This window comes from Homo sapiens, chromosome 1 (assembly GCF_000001405.40).
Source record: "Homo sapiens chromosome 1, GRCh38.p14 Primary Assembly".
Lineage (NCBI taxonomy): Eukaryota > Metazoa > Chordata > Mammalia > Primates > Hominidae > Homo > Homo sapiens.
In genome coordinates this window covers 224,939,735-224,955,730 of record NC_000001.11, presented here as the reverse complement: position 1 = coordinate 224,955,730, position 15,996 = coordinate 224,939,735, and the positions used below count along the sequence as shown (strand labels likewise).

At 37.0% G+C, this 15,996-nt stretch overlaps 1 protein-coding gene across 25 annotated transcripts in view; it reads right to left on the bottom strand.

Annotated features, from left to right (window-relative positions):
- The window catches only part of DNAH14 (dynein axonemal heavy chain 14), a 469,633-nt gene that overhangs the window by 443,556 nt on the left and 10,081 nt on the right, over nt 1-15,996 (bottom strand). For all 25 annotated transcript variants that reach the window (XM_011544062.3, XM_011544067.3, XM_017000296.2 and 22 more), the window contains exons 2-3: nt 2,952-3,061; nt 633-772 (exon numbers count right to left, since the gene is read on the bottom strand). In XM_011544062.3, the coding sequence (XP_011542364.1) occupies nt 633-772; nt 2,952-3,028 (217 nt within the window). In that variant the 5' untranslated portion in view covers nt 3,029-3,061. The remainder of the gene's footprint in view (nt 1-632; nt 773-2,951; nt 3,062-15,996) is intronic.

Genomic DNA, 15,996 nt, shown 5'->3' with positions numbered 1-15,996 from the left:
GGAAATGGCAGAAGCGGAGCTCCAGAGGTGGTGGGATTTACTTTAAAGGAGAGGAGGTACAGTTTTCCCCACACAAGCACCATAAATGGGGCTGGAAGCTTATAAAAGTGAGGACATAAGAGTGCTGGATGAGAAAGGAAGTTGTGGTAAAAAATAAAATCAAATCCTGAAAATGGCAGAATTTGAGTGAAGAAGGAAAAAAGACTTAAAAAATGGAAGTATGTGAGGGAGTAATTAGACACTAGTAGGTAAGACCAATAAAGGAGGTCACAATACAGCTAGAGGCACTGGGGACTTAGGAGAACCGTGACCCACCTGTAAGGTCTGTACCTCAAAAAAAATGACATGATATGCATGAAAAAGTGATGGAAACTGTAAAGTGGTACAGACATATCAGATATTCTGACATTTCACTGGTATTAGTAATATTCGTTACTTTTATTATGAGTAGTTAATGTTCCCGTTATTTGAAGACACTGCTAACTGCTATAACTAATGAAGTTAGTAAAATAGACACTAATATTTCAATATGTTTCACTTGTTTCCTTAATTTAATGCTATGAAAAATTTCTTTCAATTTCCATAAACTAAAATATAAATCAACATGCCAGAATAGTAATCTTGATAAATACCTTCTGTTTTCTCTGACTTCAAAGATTCAGAGAATGTTCTAACTGTTTTATATTCCAATGTTTCCTTTTCTGCTATTTCAGCTGGTTGAGTCTCTAATGGTTTCACATCTTCATATTTTTTCTCTTCATATCTTAAAAGTCTAAATGACAAAGAAAACAATTCTAAGAAAATAAATGGAAAATCACACCAATAAAATACTGAGCTATTAGCATATTACCAAAATTTCACATTTATAATTAAAACAGCTTCTTAGGTTTAATAAATGCTATGGTTAACATGCTCCATAATTGAAAGATTAAATATTTATTCTGAACAATACAATATAATATCTATTCACTCAAGTAATTTTTGATAGGCACTTTGAAAAAGATCTGCAACATTTACATGGAGAGTCTAGTTAAATTTTAAATAGGTCTAACTGGTGTTACCACTAAAAAATAAATATAAATTATCACTGAACATTTAAACTTAGAAGGGCTTTATGAATCTTGATCTCATTTTAGGAGATGAAGAATTGTTACCCAATTAAGCAGAGTGAAGTCAGAACACAATTTTCTGAAATTTCATACTCATATGTTGCCTTCCTTTTTTTTCACAGGACACTGGCAAACTGTCTACTGCTGGAAAAACTTTTTCATAAGAACAGAATCCAAAATTACTGCCTACAATAGACTTATATGGTAGATCACAGTTTTACAAAGCAGAGAAAATTCTAGGTTCCATAAAGTCTTATATGTAGTGTTAAGGGGAAAAAAGCACTTTATTGGTATATTAAAGAAAAATACTTATATCATTAAGAAGGTAATATTTCTTTTCTAGGACAAAGAAAGCACAATGTCTTTGAACTTATTTATAGATCATTTATTAGGTATTATTCTTAAATCCTTTTCCTTTGAGCGCTTTAAGTTCCCTCTTTGTTTATAAACATCTTGAAAATTTTCCCCTTCATTAAAATGTCTATCCATATCTGTTGTCCTCCCCACCTTTTTTTCTTTTTTTGGTACTGAATTTTTTGCCATTTTCTTAACAATGTGTAGTAGTTATTTACACATTTTGAGCAGCAATCAAAATGTCACTTTGTATCTCTGATTTGGAATTATCTTTTCACTTTCTTGATGTCTTTATAAACAGAAGTTACTAATTTTAATATAATTTATCTACCTTTTCCTTTATGGTTTGTATTGTTTATGGCTTCTTAAGAAATCTTTCCTTAGTCCAAGGTAATAACAAAATGAGCTTATATGTTTTCCTAACATAAAGTTTTACCTTTTACAAGTCTTTTAATTAATACATAAGTCTTTAAATCCTTGACTTTTTGGTATAGTGTAAGAGACAGACTCCATTTCTTCCCCTGCCCCCACCCAATAAGGATATACAATTGTCACAGCACCATTATTGAACATGCCCACTCAATCCTCACTAACCTATAACGCCAAGTCTATGTTCACTTAAAATGAATATAATTGTCTGTTCTTGGGTTCTTTATTCTTTATTTGTGTATCCTTGTTTCTACAGCACACTTCTTAGTTATGATAGCTTTATAATAAGTTTTTTATAGTTGTAGGTCAAGATTATCAGATTTTCTTTTTAAGGAGTGTTTTACATATTCTTGGCCCTTTGCTCTTCTATATAAATTTTGTTGAATTCTCAATTAAACTTTATAATTTTCTCATAAAGGTCATAATTACATCATTTTAAAAAATCGTATTTATTTGGGAGGCCGAGGCGGGTGGATCACGAGGTCAGGTGTTCAAGACCAGCCTGGCCAAAATGGTGAAACCCCATCTCTACTAAAAATACAAAAAAAATTAGCCAGGTGTGGTAGTGGGCACCTGTAACCCCAGCTACTCGGGGGGCTGAGGTTGGAGAATCGCTTGAACCTGGGAGGCGGAGGTTGCAGTGAGCCAAGATCGTGCCACTGCATTCCAGTCTGGGCGACAGAGTGAGACTCTGTTTCAAAAAAAAAAAGTATTTCTATGTATCTAATGTACCTATTTTTTGATACTGTTACAAATGATACCTTTTGCTTTCCTAGGATTTCTCAGTTGTTGGTTAATTTCTCATATCCAACAACCTCCTTCTCACTTTTTTGGCATATCCAAGGTTGGTCTGGGGGAAGGAGCCAACAACCAGGGTTAATTTGCCTGTCTTATCAGAAAACACTCCCTGAGAAACTAAGGTTTTCTAAACTCTAGAATCATCAATAAATTCTGATAAGATATTTTAAGTCTTTCACTGTCAGAATGGCTTACCACCAGCCATACACTGCTGAAATCTTACTTTAGAAAAAAACTCATTATATTTTATCTTACTTTTACCTTGGTTTTGTCTTGGTTTCCTCCTTGTCCATCTCTTGATTTTCAGTTGTCAAATCAATGGGTATAAACGTCTCCATATGTTTTTCTGAACAAAACTATAAAGGAACTGGCTGTAACAAAATTCACATTATTATATTTAATATACAATACAATCTGACAGCTATGACAATTGGTATTCAAAATGGCATATATAGTTCCCAGCTTCTCAATAGGCTTAATATAATATCCTGACTGCCTTTGTTTCTTATATACAGTATAATTTCCAAACCCTTCACTAAGCTAGTTAGCCTTCTCAGGGCAATCTCTATATTGTCTAACTTCCTTTCTATGGCAATTTGTTTCCATCTTACATGCATTGGTTTATGTACATACAATTTTAGCTTACATTAAATAGCATGCTAAAGATAATGATAAGTTTTAAGATTATTTTCTTAGGGGAAATTATCAAAAAGAACTTAGGAAAGTCATCAGAAGTGGTAGCTGAAGCTGATGAACTAATTTCATCATTCACTAAGCACTAAAAGGCCACATCCATATACTACTAGCGTTCTTCAGACAGAATAGAATAGAACAAAAGGGAGTGGGTTATGAAATATAAAAAGGGGAGTTTCTTTCTGATGACTGAGGGAAATCTAACAAGATACAGAAAGTCTCTAAATAAAGTTGATGTGCTACATGGCCGTGTACTGTAACTGAAGAATTAAAGGCAAAAATTTAAGACTGGAATCAATGGAGAATAGAAAAAGTTTTAGCTGGCAAGTGAATATGCTTCAGATAAATCAACTAAGATAGACTGAAATAAGCCAGGGGTAAGAGTAGTTCTTACTAGAATAGAAATGCCAGCCGGGCGCCGTGGCTCACGCCTGTAATCCCAGCACTTTGGGAAGCCAAGGCGGGTGGATCACGAGGTCAGGAGATTGAGACCACGGTGAAACCCCGTCTCTACTAAAAATACAAAAAATTAGCCGGGCATTGGTGGTGGGCGCCTGTAGTCCCAGCTACTCGGGAGGCGGAGGCAGGAGAATGGTGTGAACCTGGGAGGCGGAGCTTGCAGTGAGCCGAGATTGTGCCACTGCACTCCAGCCTGGGTAACAGAGCGAGACTCCGTCTCAAAAAAAAAAAAAAAAAAAAAAAATCCAGAAATCTACACAGTAGGTATGAAGCTGACAACTATAACATCAATGTAGGACAGTCTACCTATTGACGAGACTCAGGGTGCAGAAAGAGTCCTAGTCATGACCCAAAGAATACCAAGAAAGGCCACAGAAGGATCATTCACTGCAGCCAATAACTGAAGGATACAACTTTGACCATAACTGGAGATAAGATGAAAAAACAGAGCCTAAGGGAAGTAGATGGCACTGGATTAAAAAAAAAAAATCCCTAAATCAAATCCATTCTGGACTTGCAATAAAGCAAGAGTCAGTAAACTTTTTTTGAAAAAGAGCCAACAAGGCCAGGTGAAGTAGCTCACGTCTGTAATCCCAGCACTTTGGAAGACCAAGGTGGATGGATCACTTGATGCCAGGAGTTCGAGACCAGCTTAGGCAAGATGGCAAAACCCCGCCTCTACTAAAAATACAAAAATTAGCCAGGAGTGGTGGTGCATGCCTGTAATCCCAGCTACTTGAGAGACTGAGGCAGGCAAATCGCTAGAACCCAGGAGGCAGAGGTTGCAGTGAGCTGAGATCGTGCCACTGCACTCCAGCCTGGGCAACAGAGCGAGACTCCATCTCAAAAAATAAAATAAAAAGAGCCAAAGAGTAAATATTTCAGACTTTGTGAGTCAAAAGGCAAAATTGAGGCTATTACATAGGTACCATATAACAAAAGAGAAAACAAATTGCCACAAATGTTTTATTGATGAAATTCAATAAGTGGTAATAATAATTAAGTATTTTTTTTTTGTAATACAGTAGGCCTATGAGCAAAATAGTGTTCTTTTGGGGAAGATAACATCTCACTTAACTGGGATTCGAAGTTAGTGTTACCTATCACTAAAGTGGTTGTGAATTTTCATGTGTAAAAACCATTCTTAGCTTGTAGACATACAAAAACAGGTGGCAGGTCAGATTTGGCCGATAGGCCATCATTTGCCAGCTCCTTCAAGAGAGTATATGCTAACCCCAACCTCAGCATTGACTTTGGAGTGACTTACATATTCATGCTCTCATCATTACCAACAAACATCTAATAAACAAGAAAGGTTGCTCAAACTCATTACTAATCAAACTGTAAAAAAAAATTAAATGAGCTACTTTTTTCATATCAGACAAGTAAAAAACATCAAGTTAACCTCACACTTCTCACAGCAACATTCAAATACCAGAACATTTCCTAAGGGAAATAAAAAGAATAGTTCAAGAATTTTATACAGAGTCAAGTTTTCATTTAAGCATGAAAATAACAAACATTTCAAAACATGCAAAATTCATGAAAAATATCACCCATAATACCTTCTTATAAAAGGCACATGAAAATAAATCCCACCAACACAGACATAAAAAAAGGACAACTTGTAAATAAAGAAAATAATAATAACAGCATTAAACTCATTTAAATACAGAACTAAGTCAAAACAACGAAGGGACTTATGAACACAGAACAAAATTTTATTTCTATACTTATATTGAGATAGTAAATAAAATCTAAATATGAGTATTGAAGTAATAGTGCAAGTACTAAAAAAAAATCAAGATGGGAGGAAAGGGAGGTAGATGGAATGTAGGTAGCATAAGTGATTTGCTTTCCTCATCTTTCTGATACAGAGGTCAACAGACACTGGTTAAGGCTGATAAAATAACAGAAGCGTAAATATATTATTAAAAAGTATAAAATTATCCATAAGAAGAACAAAAATTATAACATAAACAATGGAAATCTGGGAGTAGGAGATATCAGATAAAAGGTAAATTCATGAATTATATTCTAATATCTTCATTTTGCAATAGAGAGTCAATAGATGCTATCTAAAATGCACAGCTCACAAACTACAGGTTGAAATATAATGTATTAAGTCTTGAAGAAATATAATAATGCATGAACCTTCCAAAGTATCAGAGGCAAAACAAATTATGTGTTTATACAAGAGAGGGATTAAAAACATGAGAAAAAGTTTAAAATAAAGAATAGTGTGGTTGACTTTAATAGGTTGCCCATACAATATTCATTTCCTCCTTCACTTTCCCAAACAGTAATCTTATTTTTATTCAGGTAGATCTGAAAAAATAAAAGATGGGTTAACTATTACAAAGAATAAAGTAATAAATCAGACAAAACAAATCAAGAGTCTGGAAGAAGAGAGAAATGGGGACCATAATGACTGAGAATAATTTTCCAGACATAAACCTTCAGTTTCATAAAGTCCAACAAATTCTAAGCAGAATGAACATATGTTCATATATATACATACATATGAGCAGCCACATGTGGATACACACACACACATGCACACACACGCACACACACCCAACATAGTGAAACTGCAGAATGCCAAAGACAAGGAAGAGATCCTAATGGTACTACAGATAGATTACTTAAGCTGGAAAACCATTGGACTAAGAATGGGCTTCTTGACAGTAAAATCTAAACCAAGAAAATGATACAATATTTTCAATGTGCTAAGGAAAAATAACCATCAACTTGGAATTCTATATCTGGTAAAAATATGTGTTTTTTTAACCAGATAAAGACATTGCTAGGCAAATAAAATCAATAAACACAAGTAAAAATTATCCTAAAGGACTTCAAAAAAGAAGTACTATGATCCCAAGTGAAAGGTCTCAGATGAAAGAAAAAATTATGAGCAAAAAAAGTAATATGTGAGTAAAGCTAAACAAACACTGCATAAAACAATAATTATTTCTTATGGGATTAAAAGTGAGATGGAACTAAATTACCCAACAATAACAGCATAGAGGTCAGGAGGGGGAATGACCAGAACTAAAGTGTTTTAAGATACTTGCATTTTCTGGGGGAAGAAAAACAGATGGATTAAACTTATGCTTTGATAAGTATGCATCTTAAAATTTTTATGGTAATGACTAAAGTATATATAGAATGCATAACTTCAAGCTAACAGTTGGGAGTGGGGGTGAAATAAAAATAAATATATAAGCAACCCATCTAAGAGGAGACAGAAAGATAAATAGAAGAGTCAGAACAAAAGAGAAAGTACAAAATAAAGTGGCAGAAATAAATAGAAACATATTACTAATTATAATCAATATAAATGAACTAAATTATCTAAAAGGACAATGATAGCAAAATTGGGAAGAAATTTCAGTTATACCCTATTCAAAAGACAAATTTCCGAAACATAAAGATACAACAAGGATGCAAGTACAGGAAAGAGATATACCAGGCAACTATTAAAGAAAATAAAAATATTATAGCTATATTCATATCAGAAAAAAGGTACTCAAGCAGAAAGAGTCACTAGATAGAAAGATAATCACTACATAGTGACTAAATTTTCATTTTGCCAGGAAAATAAAACAGAAGAGTTTGGAATTTGGACTTAACAACATGGTTTCTAAATATGGAATGCAAATGTGTAAACATATAATATATATTGCAAAAACTGAAAGAACCATAGGGAGAAAAAATAAATCTAGTATGATAATGAGGCATTTTAACAAACTTATTTCAGTTAATCAGGCCAACCTTTTCCTACCAAAACTAGCAAACAAACAAATGAAAACATTAAGGATACAGATTTTAACAGTCCAATTTAAAAGTTTGATTTAACATATATATTATATAAAACTCAAGAAGTGCAGAATACATATAATTTTAAGCACATATGGCATAGTTTGAAAATCAACCACCTACTGGATCATACTGTAAGTCAACAAATTTGAAATGATTTATCATCATATAGCCCAAATTCTATGACCACAATACAATTAGAGTAGAAATAGATGAATCATGAAACCCCATAAATTTGGAAATAAAGAAATACCTGTCTAAATAACTCATATTTCAAAAAAAGAAATGATAGAAAATTTAAAATATTAAGAAATAAATGTTAAGATATTAAAATTAAAACTTGTGAGATGCAGCTAAAGAGGTACTCATACGTAAATATACAGCCATAAAATGCTTATACTAGAAAACAAGAAATATTATCTAAATTAAGTATCCAAATTAAGAAGTTAGAAAAAGTAAAACTTTATAAATCCAAAGTAGAATAATACTAAAGATTAAAGCAGAAATGTTTAAAAATAGAAAATAAACCTCAATCAAGAGGATCAAAAGAGCAAAATATTACTGAGTAGAAAAAACAAAGACATCAATTCTTTACAGTCAAAATAACTCCGATCAGAATCTCAACAGTTTTTTTGTTTGTTTGACAGACTTTGTCAAGGTGATTAAAAATTTATATAGAAGAATAAAAGGTCAGGAATAGCCAAGACATTTCTGAGAAAAAAATAACATGAAGGAGAGTCTAATAGTAGAATTAATACTAAAGCTTTAATAACTGAGGCAGCATAGTAATGGAACATAGAAATTTACAGATAACATTATGGAAATCACAGAAACAGTACCAAATGTAGATGAGGTTGGGTGCGGTGGTTCACGCCTGTAATCCCAGCACTTTCGGAGGCCAAGGTGAGCAGATCACCTGAGGTCAGGAGTTCCAGACCAGCCTGACTAACATGGTAAAACCCCGTCTCTACTCAAAATACAAAAATTAGCCGAGCGTGGTGGTGCATGCCTGTAATCCCAGCTACTCGGGAGGCTGAGGCAGGAGAATCACTGGAACCTGGGAGGCAGAGTTTGCAGTGAGCCGAGATCAGGCCACTGCACTCCAGCCTGGGCAACAGAGCAAGACTCTGTCTCAAAAAAAAAAAAAAAAAAAAGTAGATGAAACGTTGATATACAACAAGTAACATATCAAATCAGTTGGAAAAATAATCCAGCTAGGAAAAAAAAAAAAGCCATAAGGGGAAAAAAATGAAATTAGATTCATTTCCTGACTCACACCAAATATACAAACAAAACAAGGACAAAGAAAGTTTTCCAAAGTGACTGAAATGTGAGAAGTAAAACTTGAAAACTGAACAATTTTCTGATCTAGAGATAGTGAATAACTTAAAAACAAGAATATAATATGAAATTCCAAAACTACATTGTATTAAAATTAGGAATTTAGGATAGGTGGAACCAAGATGGCCGAATAGGAACATCTCCAGTCTACAGCTCCCAGCATGAGCAATGCAGAAGACAGGTGATTTCTGCATTTCCAACTGAGGTACCGGGTTCATCTCACTGGGGAGTGTCAGCAACTGGGTGCAGGACAGTGGGTGCAGCACACCGAGCGTGAGCCGAAGCAAGGGAAGCTCAAGGGGTCAGGGAATTCCCTTTCCTAGTCAAAGAAAGGGGTGAGAGACAGCACCTGGAAAATCGGGTCACTCCCACCCTAATACTGTGCTTTTCCAACAGTCTTAGCAAATGGCACACCAGGAGACTATATCCCATGTCTGGCTCGGAGGGTCCTACACCCACAGAGCCTCTCTCATTGCTAGCACAGCAGTCTGAGATCAAAGGGCAAGGCCGCAGTGAGACTGAGGGAGGGGCGCCCATAATTGCCAAAGCTTGAGTAGGTAAACAAAGCAGCCAGGAAGCTCCCACTAGGTGGAGCCCACCACAGCTCAAAGAGGGCTGCCTGCCTGCCTCTGTAGACTCCACCTCTGGGGGCAGGGCATAGCCAAACAAAAGGCAGCAGAAACCTCTGCAGACTTAAATGTCCCTGTCTGACAGCTTTGAAGAGAGTAGTGGTTCTCCCAGCATGCAGCTGGAGATTTGAGAACGGACAGACTGCCTCCTCAAGCAGTTCCCTGACCCCCGAGTAGCCTAACTGGGAGGCAGCCCCAGTAGGGGCAGACTGACACCTCACACGGCCGGGTACTCCTCTGAGACAAAACTTCCAGAGGAACGATCAGGCAGCAACATTTGCTGTTCACCAATATCCGCTGTTCTGTGGCCTCTGCTGCTGATACCCAGGCAAACAGGGTCTGGAGTGGACCTCCAGCAAACTCCAACAGACCTGCACCTGAGGGTCCTGACTGTTGGAAGGAAAACTAACAAACAGAAAGGACATCCACACCAAAACCCCATCTGTACGTCACCATCATCAAAGACCAAAGGTAGATAAAACCACAAAGATGGGGAAAAAACAGAGCAGAAAAACTGGAAACTCTAGAAATCAGAGTGCCTTGCCTCCTCCAGAGGAACACAGCTCCTCACCAACAACGGAACAAAGCTGGACGGAGAATGACTTTGACAAGTTGAGAGAAGGCTTCAGATGATCAAACTACTCTGAGCTAAAAGAGCAAGTTCAAACCCATGGCAAAGAAGTTAAAAACCTTGAAAAAAAATAAGATGAATGGCTAACTAGAATAACCAATGCAGAGAAGTCCTTAAAGGAGCTGATGGAGCTGACAACCAAGGCACGATAACTACGTGACGAATGCACAAGCCTCAGTAGCCGATTCGATCAACTGGAAGGAAGAGTATCCGTGATGGAAGATCAAATGAATGAAATGAAGCGAGAAGAGAAGTTCAGAGAAAAAAAAATAAAAAGAAATGAACAAAGATTCCAAGAAATATGGGACTCTGTGAAAAGACCAAATCTACATCTGATTGGTGTACCTGAAAATGACGGGGAGAATGGAACCAAGTTGGAAAACACTCTGCAGGATATTATACAGGAGAACTTCCCCAGTCTAGCAAGGCAGGCCAACATTCAAATTCAGGAAATACAGAGAATGCCACAAAGATATTCCTCGAGAAGAGCAACTCCAAGACACATAACTGTCAGATTCACCAAAGTTGAAATGAAGGAAAAAATGTTAAGGGCAGCCAGAGAGAAAGGTAGGGTTACCCACAAAGGGAAGCCCATCACACTAACAGCTGATCTCTCAGCAGAAACTCTACAAGCCAAAAGAGAGTGGGGGTCAATATTTAACATTCTTAAAGAAAAGAATTTTCAACCCAGAATTTCATATCCAGCCAAACTAAGCCTCAGAAGTGAAGGAGAAATAAAATCCTTTACAGACAAGCAACTGCTGAGAGATTTTGTCACCACCGGGCCTGCCCTAAAAGAGCTCCTGAAGGTAGCACTAAACATGGAAAGGAACAACTGGTACCAGCCACTGCAAAAACATGCCAAATTGTAAAGACCATTGAGGCTAGGAAGAAACTTCATCAACTAACGAGCAAAATAAACAGCTAACATCATAATGACAGGATCAAAATTCACACATAACGATATTAACCTGAAATGTAAATGGGCTAAATGCTCCAATTAAAAGACACAGACTGGCAAGCTGGATAAAGAGTCAAGACCCATCAGTGTGCTGTATTCAGGAAACCCATCTCACGTGCAGAGACACATATAGGCTCAAAATAAAGGGATGGAGGAAGATCTACCAAGCAAATGGAAAACAAAAAAAGGGGTTGCAATCCTAGTCTCAGATAAAATAGACTTTAAACCAACAAAGATCAAAAGAGACAAAGAAGGCCATTACATAATGGTAAAGGGATCAATTCAACAAGAAGAGCTAACTATCCTAAATATATATGCAGCCAATACAGGAGCACCCAGATTCATAAAGCAAGTCCTTAGAGACCTACAAAGAGACTTAGACTCCCACACAATAATAATGGGAGACTTTAACACCCCACTGTCAACATTAGACACATCAACAAGACAGAAAGTTAACAAGGATATCCAGGAATTGAACTCAGCTCTGCACCAAGTGGACCTAATAGACATCTACAGAACTCTCCACCCCAAATCAACAGAATATACATTCTTCTCAGCACCACACCGCACTTATTCAAAAATTGACCACATAGTTGGAAGTAAAGCTCTCCTCAGCAAATGTAAAAGAACAGAAATTATAACAAACCACCTCTCAGACCACAGTGCAATCAAACTAGAACTCAGGATTAAGAAACTCACTCAAAACCGCTCAACCACATGGAAACTGAACAACCTGCTCCTGAATGACTACTGGGTACATAATGAAATGAAGGCAGAAATAAAGATGTTCTTTGAAACCAACGAGAACAAAGACATAACATACCAGAATCTCTGAGACACACTCAAAGCAGTGTGTAGAGGGAAATTTACAGCACTAAATGCCCACAAGAGAAAGCAGGAAGGATCTAAAATTGACGCCCTAACATCGCAATTAAAAGAACTAGAGAAGCAAGAGCAAACACACTGAAAAGCTAGCAGAAGGCAAGAAATAACTAAGATCAGAGCAGAACTGAAGGAAATAGAGACACAAAAAACCCTTCAAAAAATCAATAAATCCAGGAGCTGGTTTTTTGAAAAGATCAACAAAATTGATAGACCGCTAGCAAGACTAATAAAGAAGAAAAGAGAGAGGAATCAAATAGACACAATAAAAAACGAGAAAGGGAATATCACCACCGATCCCACAGAAATACAAACTACCATCAGAGAATACTATAAACACCTCTACGCAAATAAACTAGAAGAAATGGATAAATTCCTTGACACATACACCCTCCCAAGACTAAACCAGGAAGAAGTTGAATCTCTGAATAGGCCAATAACACATTCTGAAATTGAGGCAATAATTAATAGCTTACCAACCATAAAAGTCCAGGACCACATGAATTCACAGCCGAATTCTACCAGAAGTACAAGGAAGAGCTGGTACCATTCCTTCTGAAACTATTTCAGTCAATTGAAAAAGAGGGAATCCTCCCTAACTCATTTTATGAGGCCAGCATCATCCTGATACCAAAGCCTGGCAGAGACACAACAAAAAAAGAGAATTTCAGACCAATATCCCCGATGAACATCGATGCAAAAATCCTCAATAAAATACTGGCAAACCAAATCCAGCAGCACATCAAAAAGCTTATCCACCATGATCAAGTGGGCTTCATCCCTGGGATGCAAGGCTGGTTCAACATACACAAATCAATAAATGTAATCCAGCATATAAACAGAACCAAAGACAAAAACCACATGATTATCTCAATAGATGTGAAAAGGCCTTTGACAAAATTCAACAACCCTTCATGCTAAAAACTCTGAATAAATTAGGTATCGATGGGACATATCTCAAAATAATAAGAGCTATCTATGACAAACCCACAGCCAATATCATACTGAATGGGCAAAAACTGGAAGCATTCCCTTTGAAAACTGGCACAAGACAGGGATGCCCTCTCTCACCACTCCTATTCAACACAGTGTTGGCAGTTCTGGCCAGGGCAATCAGGCAGAAGAAGGAAATAAAGGGTATTCAATTAGGAAAAGTGGAAGTCAAATTGTCCCTGTTTACAGATGACACAATTGTATGTCTAGAAAACCCCATCGTCTCAGCCCAAAATCTCCTTAAGCTGATAGGCAACTTCAGCAAAGTCCCAGGATACAAAATCAATGCACAAAAATCACCAGCATTCTTATACACCAATAACGGACAGAGAGCCAAATCATGAGTGAACTCCCATTCACAATTGCTTCAAAGAGAATAAAATACCTAGGAATCCAACTTACAAGGGATGTGAAGGACCTCTTCAAGGAGAACTACAAACCACTGCTCAATGAAATAAAAGAGGATACAAACAAATGGAAGAACATTCCATGCTCATGGGTAGAAAGAATCAATATCGTGAAAATGGCCATACTGCCCAAGGTAATTTATAGATTCAATGCCATCCCCATCAAGCTACCAATGACTTTCTTCACAGAATTGGAAAAAACTACTTTAAAGTTCATATGGAACCAAAAAAGAGCCCGCATTGTTAAGTCAATGCTAAGCCAAAGAACAAAGCTGGAGGCATCACGCTACCTGACTTCAAACTATACTACAAGGCTACAGTAACCAAAACAGCATGCTACTGGTACCAAAACAGAGATATAGACCAATGGAACAAAACAGAGCCCTCAGCAATAATGCCACATATCTACAACCATCTGATCTTTGACAAACCTGACAAAAACAAGCAATGGGGAAAGGATTCCCTATTTAATAAATGGTGCTGGGAAAACTGGCTAGCCATATGTAGAAAGCTGAAACTGGATCCCTTCCTTACACCTGGTATAAAAATTAATTCAAGATGGATTAAAGACTTAAATGTTAGACCTAAAACCATAAAAACCCTGGAAGAAAACCTAGGCAATACCATTCAGGACATAGGGCTTCATGTCTAAAACACCAAAAGTGATGGCAACAAAAGCCAAAATTGACAAATGGGATCTAATTAAACTAAAGAGCTTCTGCACAGCAAAAGAAACTACCATCAGAGTCAACAGGCAACCTACAGAATGAGAGAAAATTTTTGCAATCTACTCATCTGACAAAGGGCTAATATCCAGAATCTACAATGAAGTCAAACAAATTTACAAGAAAAAAACAAACAACCCCATCAAAAAGTGGGCAAAGGATATGAACAGACACTTCTCAAAAGAAGACATTTATGCAGCCAAAAGACACATGAAAAAATGCTCATCATCACTGGCCATCAGAGAAATGCAAATCAAAACCACAATGAGATACCATCTCACACCAGTTAGAATGGCAATCATTAAAAAGTCAGGAAACAACAGGTGCTGGAGAGGATGTGGAGAAATAGAAACATTTTTACACTGTTGGTGGGACTGTAAACTAGTTCAACCATTGTGGAAGTGAGTGTGGTGATTCCTCAGGGATCTAGAACTAGAAATACCATTTGACCCAGCCATCCCATTACTGGGTATATACCCAAAGGATTATAAAACATGCTGCTATAAAGACACATGCACAGGTACGTTAATTGCGGCACTATTCACAATAGCAAAGACTTGGAACCAACCCAAATGTCCAACAATGATAGACTGGATTAAGGAAATGTGGCACATATACACCATGGAATACTATGCAGCCATAAAAAAGGATGAGTTCATGTCCTTTGTAGGGACATAGATGAAGGTGGAAACCATCATTCTCAGCAAACTATCGCAAGGACAAAAAACTAAACACATGTTCTCACTCATAGGTGAGAATTGAACAATGAGAACACATGGACACAGGAAGGGGAACATCACACACCGGGGCCTGTTGTGGGGTGGGGGGAAGGGGGAGGGATAGCATTAGGAGATATACCTAGTGTTAAATGACAAGTTAATGGGTGCAGCACACCAACACGGCACATGCATACATATGTAACTAACCTGCACATTGTGCACATGTACCCTAAAACTTAAAGTATAATAAAAATAAAATAAAATAAAATTAGGAATTTATTAAACCTCACTCTAAAGAAAATAAAAAGACAAGCTGCATACTGTGAGATATTTACAAAAAATATGTAATACACAGTATCCAAAGATAACCACCATTAATTGATTGATATACATGGATGCTACTCCACTCATCAAAAAGTGGGGTCTATTTCTCCTCTTTTTAAATCTGGGCTGGTCTTAGTGAACTCCTTTGACCAACAGAATACTGTGAAAATAATATTAGCCAGTTCCAGGCCCAGCCCTTAAAGAGACCTGCCAGGTTTCACTTTCCCTTTTAAAGCTAAGCACTATGTGGGAAATCTGACTACCCTGAGATGACCATGACCACCCAAATCAGCCACATGGAATAGTATGTGGGAAAGCACTAAAGCACCACACATGTAAGTGAAGCTTTCTTCACTTCAGCCCAGCTCAGCCATCAAATGAATGCAGCCAGCTGAATGAGTGACCCAATGCCACATAGAGCAGCAAAACTACTCAGCTCAGTCTAGAATCAAGAGAGAGTAAATTGTTGTTGATTGAAGCTACTAGAGTTTAAGGTGGTTTGTCACACAGCAATAGATAAGTGAAATAACATTTAACATATATGTGACAAATGATTCATCCACCTCCATGATTCAGTCACCTCCCACCAGGACCCTCCTCCAACACTAGGAATTACAATTCAGCAAGAGATGTAGGTGGGGACACTGAGCCAAACCATATCAAAGAGGTTCACAGATAAAAATTATTGTTCAATATTCTAAGTCTTCTCTTATATAGTGGGCT